This window comes from Homo sapiens, chromosome 3 (assembly GCF_000001405.40).
Source record: "Homo sapiens chromosome 3, GRCh38.p14 Primary Assembly".
NCBI classification, from domain to species: domain Eukaryota; kingdom Metazoa; phylum Chordata; class Mammalia; order Primates; family Hominidae; genus Homo; species Homo sapiens.
This window is the reverse complement of record NC_000003.12, coordinates 125,847,068-125,868,756: the sequence shown is the minus strand read 5'-3', so window position 1 is coordinate 125,868,756 and position 21,689 is coordinate 125,847,068. Positions and strand designations below refer to the sequence as shown.

Below are 21,689 nucleotides of genomic sequence, written 5' to 3'. Positions count from 1 at the left end.
GACATCTAATTAGAGAGTGCCTAAGGAGGTTCAGCATAGCCTTGCCAGCAAAGATTATTTAAGAGTTAAGAGTGGCGGTTTGGGCATAGCACCAGGAGCTATCAGCTGCGATGGCTTGGAGAAACAGTGTAAACTGGCAGTGTAAACAAGAGCAGGGCATGTATGAGTAGTTGAGAACGGTGAATAGGAGTATGACTAGAGAGAAGATAGTAGGGATGACAAGTTTTTTGGGGCACATTCCAAGTTGGTGTGGTGTCTGGAATGAGACTGGGGCCTAATAAAAAGGAGCATCTATACAGGAGCTTAAATGGGCTGTACCTTGTAGCATTCCAAGGACAGGCTTGAATTCTGAGAAGGGAAAGTGGTAAAAGTATTGTCCAGTCCTTTTTAAGTTGGTGGCTGAGATTGGTGAGGTGTGTTTTTAAAAGACCATTAGTCTGTTCTACCTTTCCTGAAGACTGAGGACTGTAAGGGATATAAAGGTTTCACTGAATACTAAGAGCCTGAAAAACTGCTTGGCTGATTTGACTAATAAAGGCCGGTCTACTATTGGATTGTATAGAGGTGGGAAGGCCAAACTGAGGAATTATGTCTGACAGAAGGGAAGAAATGACCGTGGTGGCTTTCTTAGGCCCTGTGGGAAAGGCCTCTACCTATCCAGTGAAAGTGTCTACCTAGACCAAGAGGTATTTTAGTTTCCTGACTCAGGGCACGTTGAGTAAAGCTAATTTGCCAGTCCTGAGTGGGGGCAAATCCCTGAGCTTGATGTGTAGGGAAGGGAGGGGGCCTGAATAATCCCTGAGGAGTAAAAGAATAGCAGATGGAACACTGAGAAGTTATTTCTTTGAGGATAGATTTCCACGCTGGAAAGGAAATGAGAGGTTCTAAGAGGCGGGCTAGTGGCTTGTACTATAGGATAGCCTGCCTTTGCTGGTGTGTGGCAATTAGGCCTGGTGGAACTGCCATCAATAAACTAAGTGTGATCAGGGTGAGAAGCAGGAAAGAAGGAAATGTGGGGAAATGGGGTGAATGTCAGGTGGATCAGAGAGATACAGTCATGAGGGTCAGGTGTGGTATCAGGAATAATGTGAGAGGCTGGATTGAAGTCCGGGCCAGGAACAATGGTAATTGTGGGAGACTCAACAAAGAGTGAGTACAGCTGAAGGAGCCAGGGAGCAGAAAGTATATGCGTCAGGTGTGAGGAAGAAAATAGATTTTGGAAATTATGAGAGCTGTAGAGAGTGAGTTGAGCATAGTTTGTGATTTTAACGACCTCTAAAAGTATTAGGGCAGCAGCAGCCACTGCACAGAGACATAATGGCCAGCCTAAAACAGTAAGGTCAAGTTGTTTGGACAAAAAGGCTACAGGAAGCAATCCTGGTCCTTGTGTAAGAATTTCGACTGCACAGCGCTGCACTTTGGCTGTGTGTAATGAAAAGGGTTGGGATGAGTCAGGGAGAGCTAGGGTAGGGGCAGTCTTTAAAGCTGTCTTCAAGGAACTGAAAGAGGAGTGGGGAAAGGATTTAGGATCTATGGAGTAAGCTAGGTTTCCTTTTTTGAGTTTATATAATGGTTTTGTTAGGGTGGCAATACCAGGTATCTAAAGGCAAAAGTATCCAACCATGCCCAGGAAGGAAAGGAGTTGTTGTTTTGTAGCTGGGGTTGGGGTTTGAGAGATTAGTTGGACACGATCGGCAGGGAGAGCATGTGTGTTTTTATGAGAATTATGCTGAGATAGGTAATAGATAAGGAAGAAATTTGGCCTTGACTGAAGTAATAGGGGCTGTCTGTGAAGCTCTGCGGCAGTACAGCCCAGGTAATTTGCTGAGCCTGATGGGTGTCAGGGTCAGTCCAAGTGAAAGCAAAGAGAGGCTGGGATGAAGGGTGCAAAGGAATAGTAAAGAAAGCATGTTTGAGATCCAGAACAGAATAATGGGTTGTGGAGGGAGGAATTGAGGATAGGAGAGTATATGCATTTGGCACCATGGGGTGGATGGTTTTAGGACAGGTAAAATGGGGGAATTGTAAGGAGAGTTTATAGGCTTTAAAAGGCTATGCTGTAGCAGGCAAGTGATAACAGGCTTTAATCCTTTCAAAGCATGCTGTGGGATGGGATATTGGCATTGAGCGGGGTAAGGGTGATTAGGTTTTAATGAGATGGTAAGGGGTGCATGATCGGTCGCCAAGGAGGGAGTAGAGGTATCTTCTACTTGTGGGTTAAGGTGGGTGGCAATGAGATGTAGCTATAGTCCAGGAATAGTCAGGGAAGCAGATAATTTAGTTAAAGTGTCTCAGCCTAATAAGGGAACTGGGCAGGTGGGGATAACTAAAAAGGAGTGCTTAAAAGAGTATTGTCTAAGTTGGCACCAGAGTTGGGGAGTTTTAAGAGGTTTAGAAGCCTGGCTGTCAATAACCACAACAGTTATGGAGGCAAGGGAAACAGGCCCTTGAAAAGAAGGTAATGTGGAGTGGGTAGCCTCCATATTGATTAAGAAGGGGACGGACTTACCCTCCACTGTGAGAGTTACCTAGAGCATCTGTGATGGTCCTGTAGGCTTCCGAAGTGATCGATCAGGCAGTGTCAGTCTTCAGCTGCTAAGCCAAGAAGATCTGGGAAGGAGTCAGTCAGAGAGCCTTGGGCCAGAGTTCCAGGGGCTCTGGGAGTGGCTGTCAGGTGAGTTGAACAGTCCAATTTCTAGTGGGGTCCCACACAGATGGGACATGGCTTAGGAGGAATCCCGGGTTGTGGGCATTCTTTGGCCAGATTTCTGGCACTAGTAGCAAGCTCCTGGGGGAGGCGGTTCTGGAGGAACACCTGGCCACTGCACTTTAGGCGTTTGGAAGTTCTTGTGTGCTGGAGATGTGGCTGGGGTTTGTCTCACAGTGGAGGCAAGGAATTACAACTCAGAAATATGTTGCTACTTTGCTGCCTCTACTCTATTATTGTACACCTTGAAGGCGAGGTTAATTAAGTCCTGTTGTGGGGTTTGAGGGCCGGAATTTAATTTTCAGAGTTTTATTTAATATTGGGAGCAGATTGGGTAATACAATGTATATTGAGAATAAGACGGCCTTTTGACCTTTTAGGGTCTAGGGCTGTAAAGCATCTCAGGGTTGCTGCCAAATGAGCCATGAACTGGGCTGGATTTTTATATTTGATGAAAAAGAGCCTAAACCCTATCTGATTTGGGATAAAGAAAAAGGAGCATTAACCTTGACTATGCCTTTAGCTCCAGCCACCTTTTTCAGAGGAAATTGCTGGGCAGGTTGGGGAGGGCTAGTCATGGAACGAAACTGTAAGCTGGACCCGGTGTGAGGAGGGGAGGTGATAAAAGGATTATAGGGTGGAGGAGCGGAGGCTGAGGAAGAATTGGGGCCTAGCTTGGCCTGGTGAGGAGGGGAGAGGTCAGATTGGTCTGTAGAAAAGGAAGATTACAAAGACTCAGTGACGCTTGGGGTTGGGACTGAGGGGACAGGTGGGAGGGAAAGAAGGAAGATTTGGGATGAGTTGCACTGGGAACAGACTAGGGAGGGACCGATGTGTAAAAGAATGCCTGGGCATCAGTCACCTCAGACCGTTTGCCCATTTTACGACAAGAATTATCTAGATCTTGTAGGTTGGAAAAATTGAAAGTGCCATTTTCTGGCTATTTGGAACTACTGTTGAGTTTGTATTGGGGTCAAGTGGCATTGTGGAAGAAAATAAGGCATTTAGGTTTTAGGTCAGGTGTGAGTTGAAAAGATTTTAGGTTTTTAACACAGGCTAGGGGAGAAGAAGGGGGAATGGAGGGCAGAAGCTTGCCCATAGTGAAGGAGGCAAGCCTAGAGAAAAGAGAGAGTAGAGACACAGAGAGAAGGGGTGGGGGGTTCTTGCCTTCCCGAAAAGTGGGAAAGGGGTCAGTGTGCAGAAATAAAGGGTTGTGATGCAGAGCTAAGAGGTCAGGGCACAGAAATAAGGGGTTGGGGTGCAGAGATAAGAGGTCAGGTCGTGGAAATAAGGGATTGGGTCACAGAGATAAGAGGTTGGGGCATGGAAATAAGGGATCGGGCCACAGAGATAAGAGGTTGGGGCACAGAAATAAGGGATCGGGGCACTGAGATAAGAGGGGGTTCCTTCCCCTCCCCCAGAAAAGTGGGACTTGCTGCTAAGGGTGAAGGAGAAGGGGTTGAGGGGTTCTTGCCCCTTCCCCCAGAAAAGTGGGACTTGCCACTAAGGGTGAAGGACAAAGGCAGGCATCCCTGCGTGGTCTGACACCTCTGAAACCTGGGTGAATAATCACAGAGGTGTCCCTGCAATGATTAAACACCAAGGAAAAGCTGCCTTCCCTAGTCCGTGACAGGCGCCAGAGTTTTGGGTCCACGGATAAAATGTGTCTCCTTTGTCTCTACCAGAAAATGAAAGGAATTGAAATTAAGAGAAGGGAGAGATTGAAGTGTGGCATCAAGATTGAAAGGAGAAAGAGGTTGAGGGATAGTGAGGGAGGTTGGAGAAGAGAGTAAAAAGAAGCTGCTTACCGGATTGGAAATTGGTGAGATGTTCTTGGGCTGGTCAGCCTGAGGACTTGAGGTTGTAGGTGGATCTTTCTCACAGAGCAAAGAGCAGGAGGACAGGGGATTGATGTCCCAAGGTAGGTCCCCCGATCCGAGTTATGACACCAAATTTCACATGGGTCCGTGTGAAGAGACCACCAAACAGGCTTTGTGTGAACAATAAAGCTGTTTATTTCACCTGGGTGCAGGTGGACTGAGTCTGAAAAGAGTGAGCGAAGGGAGATGGGGTGGGGCCATTTTATAGGATTTGGGTAGGTAAAGGAAAAAGGGGGGTTCTCTGGCAGGCAGGAGTGGGGGTCACAAGGTGCTCAGTAGGGGAGCTTCTGAGCCAGGATGAGCCAGGAGAAGGCATTTCACAAGATAATGTCATCAGTTAAGGCAGGAACTGGCCATCTGGATGTGTACGTGCAGGTCACAGGGGATACGATGGCTTAGCTTGGGCTCAGAGGCCTGACACTCTTCCTCCAGAGGAGGAGACCCATACAGAAGAGGAGAAGAGGAGGAGGCAAGGTGATCACAGAGGCAGAGATTGGATCATGCAGCCACAAGTTGAGGAAATCTAGTAGCCTCTACAAGCTGGAAGAGGCAAGGAATGGATTCTCCCCTAGAACCTCTGAAGGAGCATAGTCCTGCTGACATTTGATTGATTTTGGACTTCTGGCCTCCAGACATTTTTTTTTTCTTTTTTTTTTTAGAAAGAGCCTTGCTCTGTTGCCCAGTCTGGAGTGCAGTTGCACGATCTTGATTCACTGCATCCTCCACTTCCTGGGCTCAAGCCATTCTCTTGCCTCAGCCTCCCAAGTAGCTGGGCTACAGGTGCCTGCCACCATGCATGGCTAATTTTTGTATTTTTAGTAGAGATGAGGTTTTGCCATATTGGCCAGGCTGGTCTTGAATTCCTGGCCTCAGGTGATCCACCCACCTCAGCCTCCCAAAGTGCTGAGATTATTTAGGTGTGAGCCACAGCACCAGGCCCAGACATTGTTTGAAGCCACCCATTTCATGGTTCTTTGCTGCAGTGGTTGTGGAATATGAATGCACTCATGCTGTTGGTTGGACTTTGTTGACCTTGTTTCTGTTATTCCCTGGCAGTTCTACAGGGCCTGGAGCTGATACGAAAAACCTCCCTTCTTTCCCAAATGGTCCCCAGCTTCCCCGTTCACTGAAGGCCCTGCAGTCGGGAACAGTCAGGACTTTGCACCCAGTTGTTGTGGGTGTTTGGCCAACCCTTCCTCTTGTGTGATTCATGGACCTGCAGCATTGCGTCACCTGTGAGCTTTTGGAATTGAAGACTCTCAGGGCTCACCCGGGAGGACCTGCTGGGCCAGAATCTGCATTTTAACAAGATGCCTGGGTGATCTGCATACACGTTCAGATCTGAGAAGTGCTGGTAGGAGAGGCTTTAAGGTGGTAATTAGATCTTTTCTCCACCTACAAGAATCTTAGTTTCTTCATGTTAAATCTATTAACTGTGGCAATGGCATGGGGGTTATAAAACAAAACAAAACAAAACCCTTACATCAAGAATGCACCCTGGTGTGTTATGGATGTGGGTGAAATGAAATGTCTGGAATTTGCTTTAAAATATTGTAAAATAGCAAGAAGGAAAAGAAAAGCGGGAACTGGAATGAGATTGGCGAGATGTTGACAAGTTCTTGCAGTGGGATGATGGGTGAATGGGGGTTCATGGTGCAATTCTCTCCCTGCTTTTTGTGCCTATGGGAAATTTCCATAACGAAAAGTTAGAGGTCAGGCACGGTGGCTAATGCCTGTAATCTCAGCATTTTGGGAGGCTGAGGTGGGTAGATCACTTGAACCTAGGAGTTCAAGACCATCCTGGACAACATGGCGAAACCCCATCTCTACTAAAAATGCAAAAATTAGCCAGGCATGGTGACAACATGCCTGTAGTCATGTTGAGGCACAAGGTCGAGGCATGAGAATCACTTGAACCCAGGAGGCGGAGGTTGCAGTGAGCCGAGATCGCACCATTACACTCCAGCCTGGGCGACAGAGTGAGACTTGGTCTCAAAAAATTTTTTAATTTTCTTTTTTCTTTTATTTTTTGTTTTGAGATGGAGTCTTGCTCTTTTGCCCAGGCTGGAGTGCAGTGGCATGATCTTGGCTCACTGCAAACTCCACCTCCTGAGTTTACTCCATTCTTCTGCCTCAGCCTCCAGAGTAGCTGGGACTATATGAACCCACCACCATGTCCGGCTAATTGTTTGTATTTTTAGTACAGATGGGGTTTCACTGTGTTAGGATGGTCTTGATCTCCTGACCCCGTGATCTGCCCACCTTGGCCTCCCAAAGTGCTGAGATTACAGGCATGAGCCATTGTGCCTGGCCTTAATTTTATTTAATTTTTTTCTTTGTTGAGACAGGATCTCACTCTGTAGCCCAGGCTGGAGTGCAGTGTTGTGATCCCGGTTCACTGCAGCCTCTACCTCCTGTGTTCAAGCAATCCTCCCACCTCAGCCTCCTGAGTAGCTGAGACCACAGGCATGTATCATCACACCTGGCTAGTTTTTTCCCTTTTTCTAGAGGCAAGGTCTTGCTATGTTGCCCAGGCCGGTCTTGAACTCCTGAGCTCAAGCAATCTTCCCGTCTTAGCATGGGAGTAATCCCAAAGTGCTGGGATTACAGGTGTGAGTCACTCTACCCAGCCTCAACTGTTTTTTGTGACTCCACTTTTTCTCCCCCTTGGAAATGAGTAGTCTTTGAGGGAATGTCTTTTTTGTCTCAATCTCTGGTTTCTTTGCTCAGTGCACCTGTGTCTGGCGCTTTGTTGATCTCCAGGCCTTTTTCAGCAGCTTTGTCCCTGGAGAGCAGGATGGCAGCTGATGGCTTCTCAGCATTTTTTAACTCAGTTTAAGATGACTATCAACAACATCTAGTCAGCATCTGTTGCTCTCGGCAGCTGGGACTCTATTTCCTTTCTCTTTCTCCACCTCTCTAACCTCTTTAAGACTCTGGCTTTGTCATGGGTACAGCATCACCTGTGTGGCCCTTAGGCTCTCTTACTTACATGTGATCTGCGTATTATGTCTGGCTTCTCAACCAGGGTGTGATTTTGCTCCCCAGAGAACATGTGCCCATGTCTGGAGAGTTTTGGTTGTTGCAGCTGGAGGAGGTGGTGCTACTGGCATCTAATGGGTAGAGGCCACGGATGCTGCTAAACATCCTACAATGCCCCGGACAACTCCCACTAAGACAAAGTAATGATCCAGCCCCAAATGTCAATAGTGCTGAAAGTGAGAGACCCTGATTCCATCTTAGAGCTTAGAGATCATCCAAGCACATTTGGCCAAATTGTTTTTGCTACTGTCCCATGAAAAAAAGACAGACTCATGACTGATGGCAACATCGATGGGAATTTTGTTTACCTCTTCTTGGTGGACTTTGGGATACCATCACTTACCATTTATGCAAGTTGTACATTGCACACCTCCAGGGGGCGCCACCCACATATTTATGAAAATGCCGCCCCAGGAATTGCACAGTACACAGTCTGTGGCTTATGGCTATAAGCAGTTGCTCTGGTTTTGGGGTTGCCCTGGGGTGCTCTGAAACTGAGAGGAACTTTATTTCTGGCCATTAGAGGCCCTGAGCATGACATTGAGTATCCTTTCAAGAAAGGAGAAAGGTTGAACAGAGAGGACCTCATTTTTATAACTCTTGACCATCATCTAGTTACGGAGCATCCACTTTTCACCCCTGGGCCATATCCATTTGACGGATGTAAAATGATTAAATTATAATATCATGGTTTACACTTTTGATAGCTTCTGCCCGGAACATGGCGGTAAGATCCTCTCATTTTCAATTGATTCATTGGGGGAGAAAATATACACGGCTGCCCTAAGACTTTCTATTACACACCATTTGCTTGACGGGATTTCTTTAGTTTCTGTAGCATAACTTATTCTAACTGGTCCTCAATCACTTTGCAATAAAAAGTGAGATTGTGAAAATGTTCATTGTCATTACCAGTGATGGAGCAGTAAGTACAGAGTTCTGGAGAGGGAAGGAATCGAGAGATTTAAACTAGCGGAATGAGCCGCTCACCCTCAGAATTGCTTTTATTCTTGGTGAGAACTGAGGGGAATTTCGACAGGGTTCAGCGGGACTGCAGGGAGTGGGGCTGGGAGGTGGCTGTTTGCACGTGTGGTCAGCACATCCAGTGAGGGGGTCCATGTACTGTGGGCAGCCCCACAGATGGAGTTGGGATTGCCCTGGACTGAGTACTGGGTCATCAGACTGCAAACTGCCATTCTCAAGACATCGAGTCCCAGGCTGGTGCAGGAGATACATTGCAGTGTGTCAGCCTTTCTTCCATCGCTCCTCTCCAATGACAGTTCCCGATTTTCCACCGAGGAGTCACTAGTACCCCACGGCATGTGTGCGACTGGCCACTCCCCACCCTGATCTGGGGCTGGGGCATGTGGTCCCAGCCTGGATGTCAATATCCTTCCACCACCCTGGCCACAGCGATTGGGTCTGAGAAGCAGATTAGCCAAAGGAGAGACAATCTTGGAAATTTCATGTTCATGCTTAAGAAAGTAAAATGGAAAGCGAGGGGAGGGTGAGGGGTCATTCTGATGATACAGTTTGAGGACCTGGATGTAGCCACACCTGTAGCTGTCAACTCTGTGCCATAGTACTGCTTTTTATTTTTTTTCCTTCAAATTTAAATACTTTCTAGAGGCAAGGTCTTTCTATGTTGCTTGGGCTGGTTTTGAAAAGTCTCTTTTGGGGGGATGCTTTCACTGCTTCACTTCCTTTCTATGACAGCTCAGGGAATCAGAAGACAAGGGAGATGACTTTTTTTTTTTTTTTTGAGACAGGGCTTGCTCTATTGCCCAGGCTGGAGTGCAGTGGTGCAATCACAGCTCACCACAGCCTTGATCTTCTGGAATCAAGCGACCCTCCTGCTTCAGCCTCCTGAGTAGCTGGGCCTGTAGGCGGGTACCACCATGCCCAGCTAATTAATTTTTTTTTTTTTTTTTTTTAAGAAATGAGATCTCAGTATGTCACCCAGGCTGGCCTCAAACTCCTGAGCTCAAGCGATTGCCCTGCCTTAGGTTCCCAAACTTACAGGTGTGAGTCCCCACACCAGTCAACACTGTGGTCTTATGCACCCGGTGTCCCCATAGGCCCTGAGCAATGATCCTCCTGCTTCAACTTCCCGAAATACTGGGATAACAGATGTGAAGCACCATGTGTGGCCCACATAGTATTCTTATGGGTTAAATTGAGTCCTCCTCAAAAGATGTTGAAATCCTAAATTCTTGTAGCTGAGAATGTGATCTTATTTAGAAATACTTATTGCAGGCCGGGCATCGTGGCTCACACCTGTAAACCCAGCACTTTGGGAGGCCGCTGTGGGTGGATCACCTGAGGTCAGGAGTTTGAGACCAGCCTGACCAACATGGAGAAACCCCGTCTCTACTAAAAATACAAAATTAGCTGAGTGTGGTGGTGCATACCTCTAATCCCAGCTACTCAGGGTGCTGAGGCAGGAGAATCACTTGAACCCAGGAGGTGGAGGTTGCATTGAGCTGAGATCATGCCATTGCACTCCAGCCTGGGCAACAAGAGTGAAACTCCGTCTCAAAAAAAAAAAAAGGAAGAAAGAAAGAGGGTTATTGCAGATGCTATTGATTAGGATGAAGTCATCCTGGAGTAGGGATGGCCCTAAGTCAATGACTGGTGTCCTTATAAAAGAGGAGAGGACACGCTGAGTCATGGAGACACAGGGAAGAAGGCCATGGATCAGACAGAAGATTGGACTGATGCGTCTGCAAACCAAGGAACACTGAAAACTGCCAGGAGACCACAGGAAGCTAGGAAGAGGCAAGGCAGGACTCCCTGACAAGTGCAGGAGAGAGTGTGGCCCTGCTGGCACCTCCATTTCAGACTGCTGGCCACCAGAGCCACAAGACAATCAATTTCTCTTGTTTCAAGTCACCCAGCTTGTGGTACTTGGTTGTGGCAGCCCTAGAGAATGAATATAAGTACTTTCTTTTTTTTTTTCTTTTTTTGAGACGGAGTTTCACTCTGTTGCCCAGGCTGGAGTGCAGTGGCGCGATCTCGGCTCACTGCAAGATCTGCCTCCCAGGTTCACGCCATGCTCCTGCCTCAGCCTCCCGAGTAGCTGGGACTACAGGCACCTGCCACCAAGCCCTGCTAATTTTTTGTATTTTTAACAGAGACGGGGTTTCACCGTGTTAGCCAGGATAGTCTCCATCTCCTGACCTCGTGATCCACCTGCCTCAGCCTCCCAAAGTGCTGGGATTACAGACGTGAACCACTGTGCCCGGCTAAATATAAGTGCTTTTAAATTAACTCTCCTCTTCTCTCCATCTTCTTCTAAATCATCATTTTTGCCTGAGCAACAGCTAGGGTCTAATACGGATGTGATGATTCACTTCAAAGTGGGGGAAGCCAGTCCCCATGTGCGCCCAAAGCTCCTGCTGCCTTGGCCCTGGGCTCAGAGACTGGACCATCATTCTGGAGGCTTGCTGAAGATCTGAGACAGGGCAGCATTCTCTGTTGCCTTTAAACAAAGGCTGGTGCTCGCCCAGGCATTTGAGCTCCACCGAGGATCTATTTGGAAGGCAGAATTCTGAGATGACCCCTTAGCTTCTTGCCCTGGATAAATGCCAGGTGTAATCTCCTCTCCCTTGGAGTGTAGGCAGGACCCGTGGCTTGCTTCTAATCTATACCTATGGAAAAGTTGAAGGGATTTTGCAGATGTAACTAAGCCCCTAATCTGTTCGCTTTGAGTTAATCAAAAGGGAGATTATTCAGGGTGGGCCTGACATCTTCAGGTGAGATCTTCAATGAGGGTCTGGAGGAGAGAGACTCCTTCCTCCTGGTTTTTGGCTTTTGTTTGTTTGCTTGTTTTTGAGATGGAGTCTCACTCTGTTGCCCAGGCTGGAGTGCAGTGGCACGATCTCGGCTTACTGCAACTTCTGCCTCCTGGGTTCAAGTGATTCTCCTGCCTCAGCCTCCCAAGTAGCTGGGATTACAGACATGCGCCATCATGCCAGGCTAAGTTTTGTATTTTTAGTAAAGATGGGGTTTCACCATATTGGCCAGGCTGGTCTCGAACTCCTAACCTCGGGTGATCCACCTGCCTCAGCCTCCGAAAGTGCTGGGATTACAGGCGTGAGCCACCACACCCGGCTGGTTTTGAAGAAGCCACATGAGTTCCACAGTTGCATGGAAATAAATTCTGCCAACAACCATGTGAGGTTGGGAGAAGACCCTAAGCCTCATATGAGACACTAATTGCAGCCGACACCTTGATCACAACCTTGTAAGTACCTGAGCAGAGGACCCAGCTGAAGCTGCAACCCCAGACTCCTGACCCACAGGAAAGGAGAGGTAATAGATGGATGTTTTAAGCTGCTAAATTTGTGTTGATTTGTTATGTAGCTTAGAAAATGAATACATCATTCCATTTTTTAAAAATCATAAGCTAATCACACCATTCGATTTTTTTTTTTTTTTTTTTTTTTTTTTTTTTTTTTGAGGCAGAGTCTCACTCTGTCACCCAGGCTGGAGTGCAGTGGTGCAATCTCGGCTCACTGTAACCTCTGCCTCCTGGGTTCAAGTGATTCCCTTGACTCAGCCCCCCAAGTAGCTGAGACTACAGGCATGCACCACCACACCCAGCTAACTTTTGTATTTTTAGTAGAGATGGATTTTCACCATGTTGGCCAGGCTGGTCTCGATCTCCTGACCACAAGTGACCTGCCTGCCTCAGCCTCCCAAAGTGCTGGGGTTACTGACATGAGCCACCGCACCCGGCCCGACACACCATTCAATTTTAAGGAACTTCCAGGTGCTGTGGTCAAGCCCCTCTTGTGTGGCATGGAGGTGGGGAGAGATGGGTTGGAAGATGACTGGATACGGGCACGGAGCTAGGTGGGAAGAGGAAAAGTGTCTTGAAGGAAGTAAGTCCCTTCAGATAAGGGAGGAGGAAGAAGCTTGATCAATATGCAGACTTGCACAGTCCTTCAGTCCTGGGGATATTGGAGGAGAGAAAGGTCTTGCCTTGTATTTGAGAGTTACCATCCCAGGCAGAGGCCCTACTTCCACCTTCTTGCAGGTGGGGCTGGAGTGCAAATACTTAGAGGAGAAATGAACACCCTTTGTAAGCATGTGAAAAGTTTCTGGAGTGGAGAGATGATGAAGCAGGATATTTGGAGTCAACAGCCAATGTTTTTATTTTATTTTTTATTTTTTATCATGCTTTAAGTTTTAGGGTGCATGTGCACAACGTGCAGATTTGTTACATATGTATACATGTGCCATGTTGGTGTGCTGCACCCATTAACTCGTCATTTAACATTAGGTATATCTCCGAATGCTATCCCTCCCCCCTCCCCCCACCCCAAAACAGGCCCCCGTGTGTGATGTTCCCCTTCCTGTGTCCATGTGTTCTCATTGTTTAATTCCCAGCTATGAGTGAGAACATGCAGTGTTTGGTTTTTTGTCCTTGCGATAGTTTGCTGAGAATGATGGTTTCCAGCTTCATCCATGTCCCTACAAAGGAAAGGAACTCATCATTTTTTATGGCTGCATAGTATTCCATGGTGTGTATATGCCACATTTTATTAATCCAGTCTATTGTTGGACATTTGGCTTGTTTCCAAGTCTTTGCTATTGTGAATAGTGGCACAATAAACATACATGTGCATGTGTCTTTATAGCAGCATGATTTGTAATCCTTTGGGTATATACCCAGTAATGGGATGGCTGGGTCAAATGGTATTTCTAGTTCTAAATCCCTGAGGAATCGCCACACTGACTTCCACAATGGTTGAACTAGTTTACAGTCCCACCAACAGTGTAAAAGTGTTCCTATTTCTCCACATCCTCTCCAGCACCTGTTGTTTCCTGCCTCTTTAATGATCGCCATTCTAACTGGTGTGAGATGGTATCTCATTGTGGTTTTGATTTGCATTTCTCTGGCCAGTGGTGATGAGCATTTTTTCATGTGTCTTTTGGCTGCATAAATGTCTTCTTTTCAGAGGTGTTTGCTCATTTCCTTTGCCCACTTGTTGATGGGGTTGTTTGTTTTTGTCTTGTAAATTTGTTGGAGTTCATTGTAGATTCTGGATATCAGCCCTTTGTCAGATGAATAGATTGCAAAAATTTTCTCCCATTCTGTAGGTTGCCTATTCACTCTGATGGTAGTTTCTTTTGCTGTGCAGAAGCTCTTGAGTTTAATTAGATCCTATTTGTCAATTTTGGCATTTGTTGCCATTGCTTTTGGTGTTTTAGACATGAAGTCCTTGCCCATGCCTATGTTCTGAATGGTATTGCCTAGGTTTTCTTCTAAGGCTTTTATGGTTTTAGGTCTAACATTTAAGTCTTTAATCCATCTTGAATTAATTTTTGTATAAGGTGTAAGGAAGGGATCCAGTTTCAGCTTTCTACATATGGCTAGCCAGTTTTCCCAGCACCATTTATTAAATAGGGAATCCTTTCCCCATTTCTTGTTTTTCTCAAGTTTGTCAAAGATCAGATAGTTGTAGATATGTGGCATTATTTTTGAGGGCTCTATTCTGTTCCATTGGTCTATATCTCTGTTTTGGTACCAGTACCATGCTGTTTTGGTTACTGTAGCCTTGTAGAATAGTTTGAAGTCAGGTAGCATGATGCCTCCAGCTTTGTTCTTTTGGCTTAGGATTGACTTGGCAATGTGGGCTCTTTTTTTGGTTCCATATGAACTTTAAAGTAGTTTTTTCCAATTCTGTGAAGAAAGTCATTGGTAGCTTGATGGGGATGGCATTGAATCTATAAATTACCTTCGGCAGTATGGCCATTTTTACAATATTGATTCTTCCTACCCATGAGCATGGAATGTTCTTCCATTTGTTTGTATCCTCTTATTTCGTTGAGCAGTGGTTTATAGTTCTCCTTGAAGAGGTCCTTCACTTCCCTTGTAAGTTGGATTCCTAGGTATTTTATTCTCTTTGAAGCAATTGTGAATGGGAGTTCACTCAGGATTTGGCTCTCTGTCTGTTATTGGTGTATTAGAATGCTTGTGATTTTTGCACATTGATTTTGTATCCTGAGACTTTGCTGAAGTTGCCTATCAGCTTAAGGAGATTTTGGGCTGAGATGATGGGGTTTTCTAGATATACAATCATGTCATCTGCAAACGGGGACAATTTGACTTCCTCTTTTCCTAATTGAATGCCCTTTGTTTCCTTCTCCTGCCTAATTGCCCTGACCAGAACTTCCAACACTATGTTGAATAGGAGCACTGAGAGAGGGCATCCCTGTCTGGTGCCAGTTTTCAAAGGGAATGCTTCGAGTTTTTGCCCATTCAGTATGATATTGGCTGTGGGTTTGTCATAGATAGCTCTTATTATTTTGAGATATGTCCCATCAATACCTAATTTATTGAGTTTTTAGCATGAAGCATTGTTGAATTTTGTCACAGGCCTTTTCTGCATCTAATGAGATAATCATATGGTTTTTGTCATTGGTTCTGTTTATATGCTGGATTATGTTTATTGATTTGTGTATGTTGAACCAGCCTTGCATCCCAGGGATGAAGCCCACGTGATCATGGTCAATAAGCTTTTTGATGTGCTGCTGGATTCGGTTTGCCAGTATTTTATTGAGGATTTTTGCATCGATGTTCATCAGGGATATTGATCTAAAATTCTCTTTTTTTGTTTTGTCTCTGCCAGGCTTTGGTATCAGGATGATGCTGGCCTCATAAAACAAGTTAGGGAGGATTCTCTCTTTTTCTATTGTTTGGAATAGTTTCAGAAGGAATGGTACCAGCTCCTCCTTATACCTCTGGTAGAATTCGGCTGTGAATCCATCTGGTCCTGGACTCTTTTTGGTTGGTAAGCTATTAATTATTGCCTTAATTTTAGAGCCTGTTATTGATCTATTCAGAGATTCAACTTCTTCCTGGTTTAGTCTTGGAAAGGTGTATGTGTTGAGGAATTTATCCATTCCTTCTAGATTTTCTAGTTCATTTGCATAGACGTGCTTATAGTATTCTCTGATGGTAGTTTGTATTTCTGTGGGATTGGTGGTGATATCACCTTTATCATTTTTTATTGTGTCTATTTGATTCTTCTCTCTTTTCTTCTTTATTAGTCTTGCTAGCGGTCTATCAATTTTGTTGATCTTTTCAAAAAACCAGCTCCTGGATTCATGGATTTTTTGAAGGGTTTTTTGTGTCTCTATTTCCTTCAGTTCTGCTCTGATCTTAATTGTTTCTTGCCTTCTGCTAGCTTTTGAATGTGTTTGCTCTTGCTTCTCTAGTTCTTTTAATTGTGATGTTAGGGTGTCAACTTTAGATCTCTCCTGTTTCTCTTGTGGTCATTTAGTGCTATAAATTTCCCTCTACACACTGCTTTGAATGTGTCCCAGAGATTCTGGTATGTTGTGTCTTTGTTCTCATTGGTTTCAAAGAACATCTTTATTTCTGCCTTCATTTCGTTATTTACCCAGTAGTCATTCAGGAGCAGTTTGTTCAGTTTCCATGTAGTTGAGTGGTTTTGAGTGAATTTCTTAATCCTGAGTTCTAGTTTGATTGCACTGTGGTCTGAGAGTTTGTTATAATTTCTGTTGTTTTACATTTGCTGAGGAGTGCTTCACTTCCAAATATGTGGTCAATTTTGGAATAAGTGTGGTGTGGTGCTGAGAAGAATATATATTCTGTTGGTTTGGGGTGGAGAGTTCTGTAGATGTCTATTAGGTCCTCTTGGTGAAGAGCTGAGTTCAATCCCTGGATATCCTTGTTAACTTTCTGTCTCGTTAATCTGTCTAATGTTGACAGTGGGGTGTTAAAATCTCCCATTATTATCATGTGGGAGTCTAAGTCTCTTTGTAGGTCTCTAAGGACTTGCTTTATGAATCTGGGTGCTCCTGTATTGGGTGCAGATATATTTAGGATAGTTAGCACTTCTTGTTGAATTGATCCCTTTACCATTATGTAATGGCCTTCTTTGTCTCTTTTGATCTTTGCTGGTTTAAAGTCTGTTTTATCAGAGACTAGGATTGCAACCCCTGCCTTTTTTTGTTTTCCATTTGCTTGGTAGATCTTCCTCCATCCCTTTATTTTGAGCCTATGTGTGTCTCTGCACATGAGATGGGTTTCCTGAATACAGGACAGTGATGGGTCTTGACTCTTTATCCAATTTGCCAGTCTGTGTCTTTTAATCAGAGAATTCAGCCCATTGACACTTAAGGTTAATATTGTTATGTGTGAATTTGATCCTGTCATTATGAGGTTAGCTGGTTATTTCTCTCGTTAGTTGATGCAGTTTCTTCCTAGCCTCGATGGTCTTTACAATTTGGCATGTTTTTGCAGTGGCTGTAACGGTTTTTCCTTTCCATGTTTAGTGCTTCCTTCAGGAGCTCTTGTAGGGCAGGCCTGGTGGTGACAAAATCTCTCAGCATTTGCTTGTCTGTAAAGTATTTTATTTCTCCTTCACTTATGAAGCTTAGTTTGGCTGGATATGAGATTCTGGGTTGAAAATTCTTCTCTTTAAGAATGTTGAAAATTGGCCCCCACTCTCTTCTGGCTTGTAGAGCTTCTGCTGAGAGATCAGTTGTTAGTCTGATGGACTTCCCTTTGTAGGTAACCCGACCTTTCTCTCTGGCTGCCCTTAACATTTTTTCCTTCATTTTAACTTTGGTGAATCTGACAATTATGTGTCTTGGAGTTGCTCTTCTCAAGGAGTATCTTTGTGGCATTCTCTGTATTTCCCGAATTTGAATGTTGGCCTGCCTTGCTAGATTGGGGAAGTTCTCCTGCATAATATCCTGCAGAGTGTTTTCCAACTTGGTTCCATTCTCCCCCATCACTTTCAGGTACACCAATCAGACGTAGATTTTGTCTTTTCACATAGTCCCATATTTCTTGGAGGCTTTGTTCATTTCTTTATATTCTTTTTTCTCTAAACTTCTCACTTCATTTCATTCATTTCATCTTCCATCACTGATATCCTTACTTACAGTTGATCAAATCAGTTACTGAGGCTTGTGCATTTGTCATGTAGTTCTCTTGCCTCGGTTTTCAGCTCCATCAGGTCCTTTAAGGACTTCTCTGCATTGGTTATTCTAGTTAGCCATTCATCCATATAGTTAGCCATTCATCTAACCTTTTTTCAAGGATTTTAACTTCTTTGCCATGGGTTTGAACTTCCTCCTTTAGTTCGGAGTAGTTTGATCGTCTGAAGCCTTCTTCTCTCAACTCATCAAAGTCATTCTCTGTCCAGCTTTGTTCCATTGCTGGTGAGGAGCTGCATTCCTTTGGAGGAGGAGAGGCTCTCTGATTTTTAGAGTTTCCCATTTTTTCTGCTCTGTTTTTTCCCCATCTTTGCGGTTTTATCTACCTTTGGTCTTTGATGATGGTGATGTACAGATGGGGTTTTTTGTGTGGATATCCCTTCTCTTTGTTAGTTTTCCTTCTAACAGTCAGGACCCTCAGCTGCAGGTCTGTTGGAGTTTGCTGGAGGTCCACTCCAGACCCTGTTAGCCTGGGTATCAGCAGCAGAGGCTGCAGAACAGTGGATATTGGTGAGCTGCAAATGTTGCCGTCTGATTGTTCCTCTGGAAGTTTTGTCTCAGAGAGTACCCAGCCATGTGAGGTGTCAGTCTGCCCCTACTGGGGGGTGCCTCCCAATTAGGCTACTTGGGGGTCAGGGACCCACTTGAGGAGGCAGTCTTCCCATTCTCAGATCTCCAGCTGCATGCTGGGAGAACCACTACTCTCTTCAAAGCTGTCAGACAGGGACATTTAAGTCTGCAGAGGATTCTGCCGCCTTTTGTTTGGCAATGCCCTGCCCCCAGAGGTGGAGTCTACAGAGGCAGGCAGGCCTCCTTAAGCTGCAGTGGGCTCCACCCAGTTCGAGCTTCCCAGCCACTTTGTTTACCTACTGAAGCCCAGGCAATGGCGGTCGCCCCTCTCCCAGCCTTGCTGCCTCCTTGCAGTTTGATCTCAGACTGCTGTGCTAGCAATAAGTGAGGCTCCGTGAATGTAGGACCCTCTGAGCCAGGTGCGGGATATAATCTCCTGGTGTGCCATTTGCTAAGACTGTTGGAAAAGCACAGTATTAGGGTGAGAGTGACCCGATTTTCCAGGTGCCATCTGTCACCCCTTTCTTTGACTAGGGAAGGGAATTCTCTGACCCCTTGCACTTCCCGGGTGAGGCAATGCCTCACCTTGCTTGGGCTCATGCTCAGTGCACTGCACCCACTGTCCTGCACCCACTTTCTGACACTCCCCACTGAGATGAACCAAGTACCTCATTTGGAAATGCAGAAATCTCCTGTCTTCTGTGTCACTCATGCTGGGAGCTGTAGACTGGAGCTCTTCCTATTCGGCCATCTTGGCTCCACCCCCACTATTATGATTCTTACACAGAGTCCTTTGCCTTCCAGCAGCCTCCTCTCCATCCTTTTTAGGTCAGAATCCCTCTATTTTAGTGGCCACTGGGATTCTGAAATGACCAGGTCTTTGTCTCAAAGACCTCACACATGCTGTTCCCTCTGCCTGGAACACTTTTCCTTGCTCTGGTCCCCTGAGATATCTTTCAGCTCAACTGCCCCATGCTCAGAGAGCCCCTTTCTCCCTCTCTAGTTTTAAGCCAGTTTACCCCTGTAGTCTGTGCCTGGAAAACTCGTTTTCCTCCTTGGTGCCTCCCGAGTTGTCCTGGGATGTATGTGCCTGTTAGGGTGTCTGTTGTCTGTCTCCCCGACTGGACTGCATGCTCCTAGTGAGCTGGAGGGACTGGACTAGCACAGGCCAAGTCCCTGGGGCTGGAGGGAGCAGGGCAGAAGGCACAGGCAAAAGGCCTTTGTGATCTGGAGGGAAGTGAAGGAGAGGGAGAGAGATGAGAGAGGCTGGCAGAAGATGGGCCAGGGGCCAGGCTGTGTGGGATCTTTTGGGCCACAGAAAGACATTTGAATTCTCATTTAAGAAAACCAGGACACCATTGGAGGGTATGAGTCACGTCATCTAACTGAGCTCTGTAAATGTTAATATTTTATTATTTTTATACAATTCTTTAAAAGTGATTTTAATTATTTACCTTTTTATTTTTATTACTTTTATTTTTTCTTTTTTTGAGACAAAATCTTGTGCTGTTGCCCAAACTGGAGTACAATGGCATGATCTCAGCTCACTTCAACTTCCACCTCCTGGGTTCAAGTGATTCTCCTGTATCAGACTCCCGAGTAGCTGGGGTTATAGGCGTCTGCCACCAAGCTCAGCTTATTTTTGTATTTTTAGGAGAGACGACGTTTCACCATGTTGGCCAGGCTGGTCTTGAACTCCTGAACTCAGGTGATCCACCCACCTCAGCCTCCCAAAGTGCTGGGATTACAGGGGTGAGCCACCATGCCCGACCTTATTTACTTTTTTAAAAAAGATCAGGCCAGGCACGGTAGCTCATGTCTCTAATCTCAGCACTTTGGGAGGCTGAGGCGGGATGATCACTTGAGGCCAGGAGTTCAAAACCAGCCTAGGCAACATAGTGAGACATCCCCTGCCCCAATCTCTAAAAAAATGAGAAAATTAGGCACGGTGGTTGGTCTGTATCCCCAGCTACTGGGGAGCCTGAGGTAGGCAGGACTGCTTGACACCAGGAGATTGAGGCTCCACTGAGCTGTGACTATGCCATTGAGCTACAGCCTGGGAAACAGAGTGAGACCCTGGAGCCGCCTCAGCCTCCCTAGAGCTGACCGAGCTCTGCTTCTTATTCCAGGAATGACGGACGCTGGGGCTTTGATGGGCACCGGGTGAAATGGGCAGAGTGGCGCTTACCCGGGATGGCGGTGAAGCGGGACCGGGAGGTCATCGTGACAAAGGGTGGCATGAGGTACCTGGCCTTGACGCCCTCCCCGGCTAGACGGTCCAGATTGGGGGTGTCCACATCCTGATCCTAGTCCCAGCGGAAGCCCTGGAAGGAGATCAGCAGCAGCTGTGAGTGCTCTTCCTCCCTGGGACGGGGTGGCTACTCAGTAGGACAGGCGGCAGCAGCTGGAGGGCCCCGAACCCTGTCATCCCATGAGCACCTGTCATGCACTCCTCACAGAGATCGTGGGCTTCTCCCTCTTTAATCCGTTGTTGAACAACGTCCACATTAATAATTCAGCCCAGCTCTGTTGTGGGACAAACAACCCGGAGTGTAGCAAGGTGCCGCATATTTGCAGGACAGGATGAAAGCGTTCTGGAGATGGATGGGGGACATGGCTGTACAATGTGGTGGATGCACTTAACACCACTGAATTTTTCCTTTGAAAATGGCTAAAATAATAGATTTTGTATGTATTTTACCACAATAAAAAAATTAAACTGGCCTGGCGTGGTGGCTTACACCTGTAATCCCAGCACTTTGGGAGGCCGAGGCGGGTAGATCATTTGAGGTCAGGAGTTCGAGCCCAGCCTGGCCAACATGGAGAAACCCCATTTCTACTAAAAATGCAAATATTAGCAGGGCGTGGCGGTACATGTCTGTAATTCCAGCTACTTGGGAGGCTGAGGCAGGAGAATGGCTTGAACCCGGGAGGTAGAGGTTGCAGTGAGCCGGGATTGTGCCACTGCACTCCAACCTGGACGATGGAATGAGACTCCGTCTCCAAAAACAAAAAAAATCAAACCATGTGAAATATTTTGGGCCCTTATACTAATTCCAACATTTTGAAGATCTGGGGAGAACAAACTAGATTGGTGCTTTCCTTGGCTTAGTATGTCCTGTTTTTATAGGGAGAGCAAATTACTGTTCACCAGCACTATTAAAATAGCTACAACAGGATGGGCATGGTGGCTCACACCTGTAATCCCAGCACTTTGGGAAGCTGAGGTGGGAGGATCGCTTGAGCCCAGGAGTTCAAGATGTCAGCCTGGGCAACATGGCGAGACCCTGTCACTACCAAAAATACAACAACAACAACAAAAATAGCTGGGTGTGGTTGCGTGCACCTGTAGTCCCAGCTACTTGAGAGGCTGAAGTGGGAGGATCACTTGTGCCCAGGAGGTTGAGGCTGCAGTAAGCTGTGATTATGCCACTGTACTCAGCCTGGGTGACAGAGTGAGACCCTGTCTCAAAAAAAAAAAAAAAAAAAAAGCTGCAGTGGACTCAGTG

The 21,689-nt window shown here is 46.1% G+C and overlaps 1 protein-coding gene, 1 long non-coding RNA gene and 1 pseudogene across 3 annotated transcripts in view; 1 reads left to right on the top strand and 2 right to left on the bottom strand.

Moving 5' to 3' along the window:
• Positions 1-20,534, bottom strand: part of ENPP7P4 (ectonucleotide pyrophosphatase/phosphodiesterase 7 pseudogene 4) — a 61,192-nt pseudogene extending 40,658 nt beyond the window's left edge.
• LINC02614 (long intergenic non-protein coding RNA 2614) overlaps positions 1-21,689 on the top strand; it is a 58,841-nt gene that overhangs the window by 17,321 nt on the left and 19,831 nt on the right. The gene's annotated exons all lie outside the window — the stretch shown is intronic.
• LOC112267908 (translation initiation factor IF-2-like) overlaps positions 20,428-21,689 on the bottom strand; it is a 92,138-nt gene continuing 90,876 nt past the window's right edge. Inside the window, exon 4 of the mRNA XM_047449437.1 lies at positions 20,428-20,504. Within this exon, the coding sequence (XP_047305393.1) occupies positions 20,487-20,504 (18 nt within the window). The 3' untranslated portion in view covers positions 20,428-20,486. The remainder of the gene's footprint in view (positions 20,505-21,689) is intronic.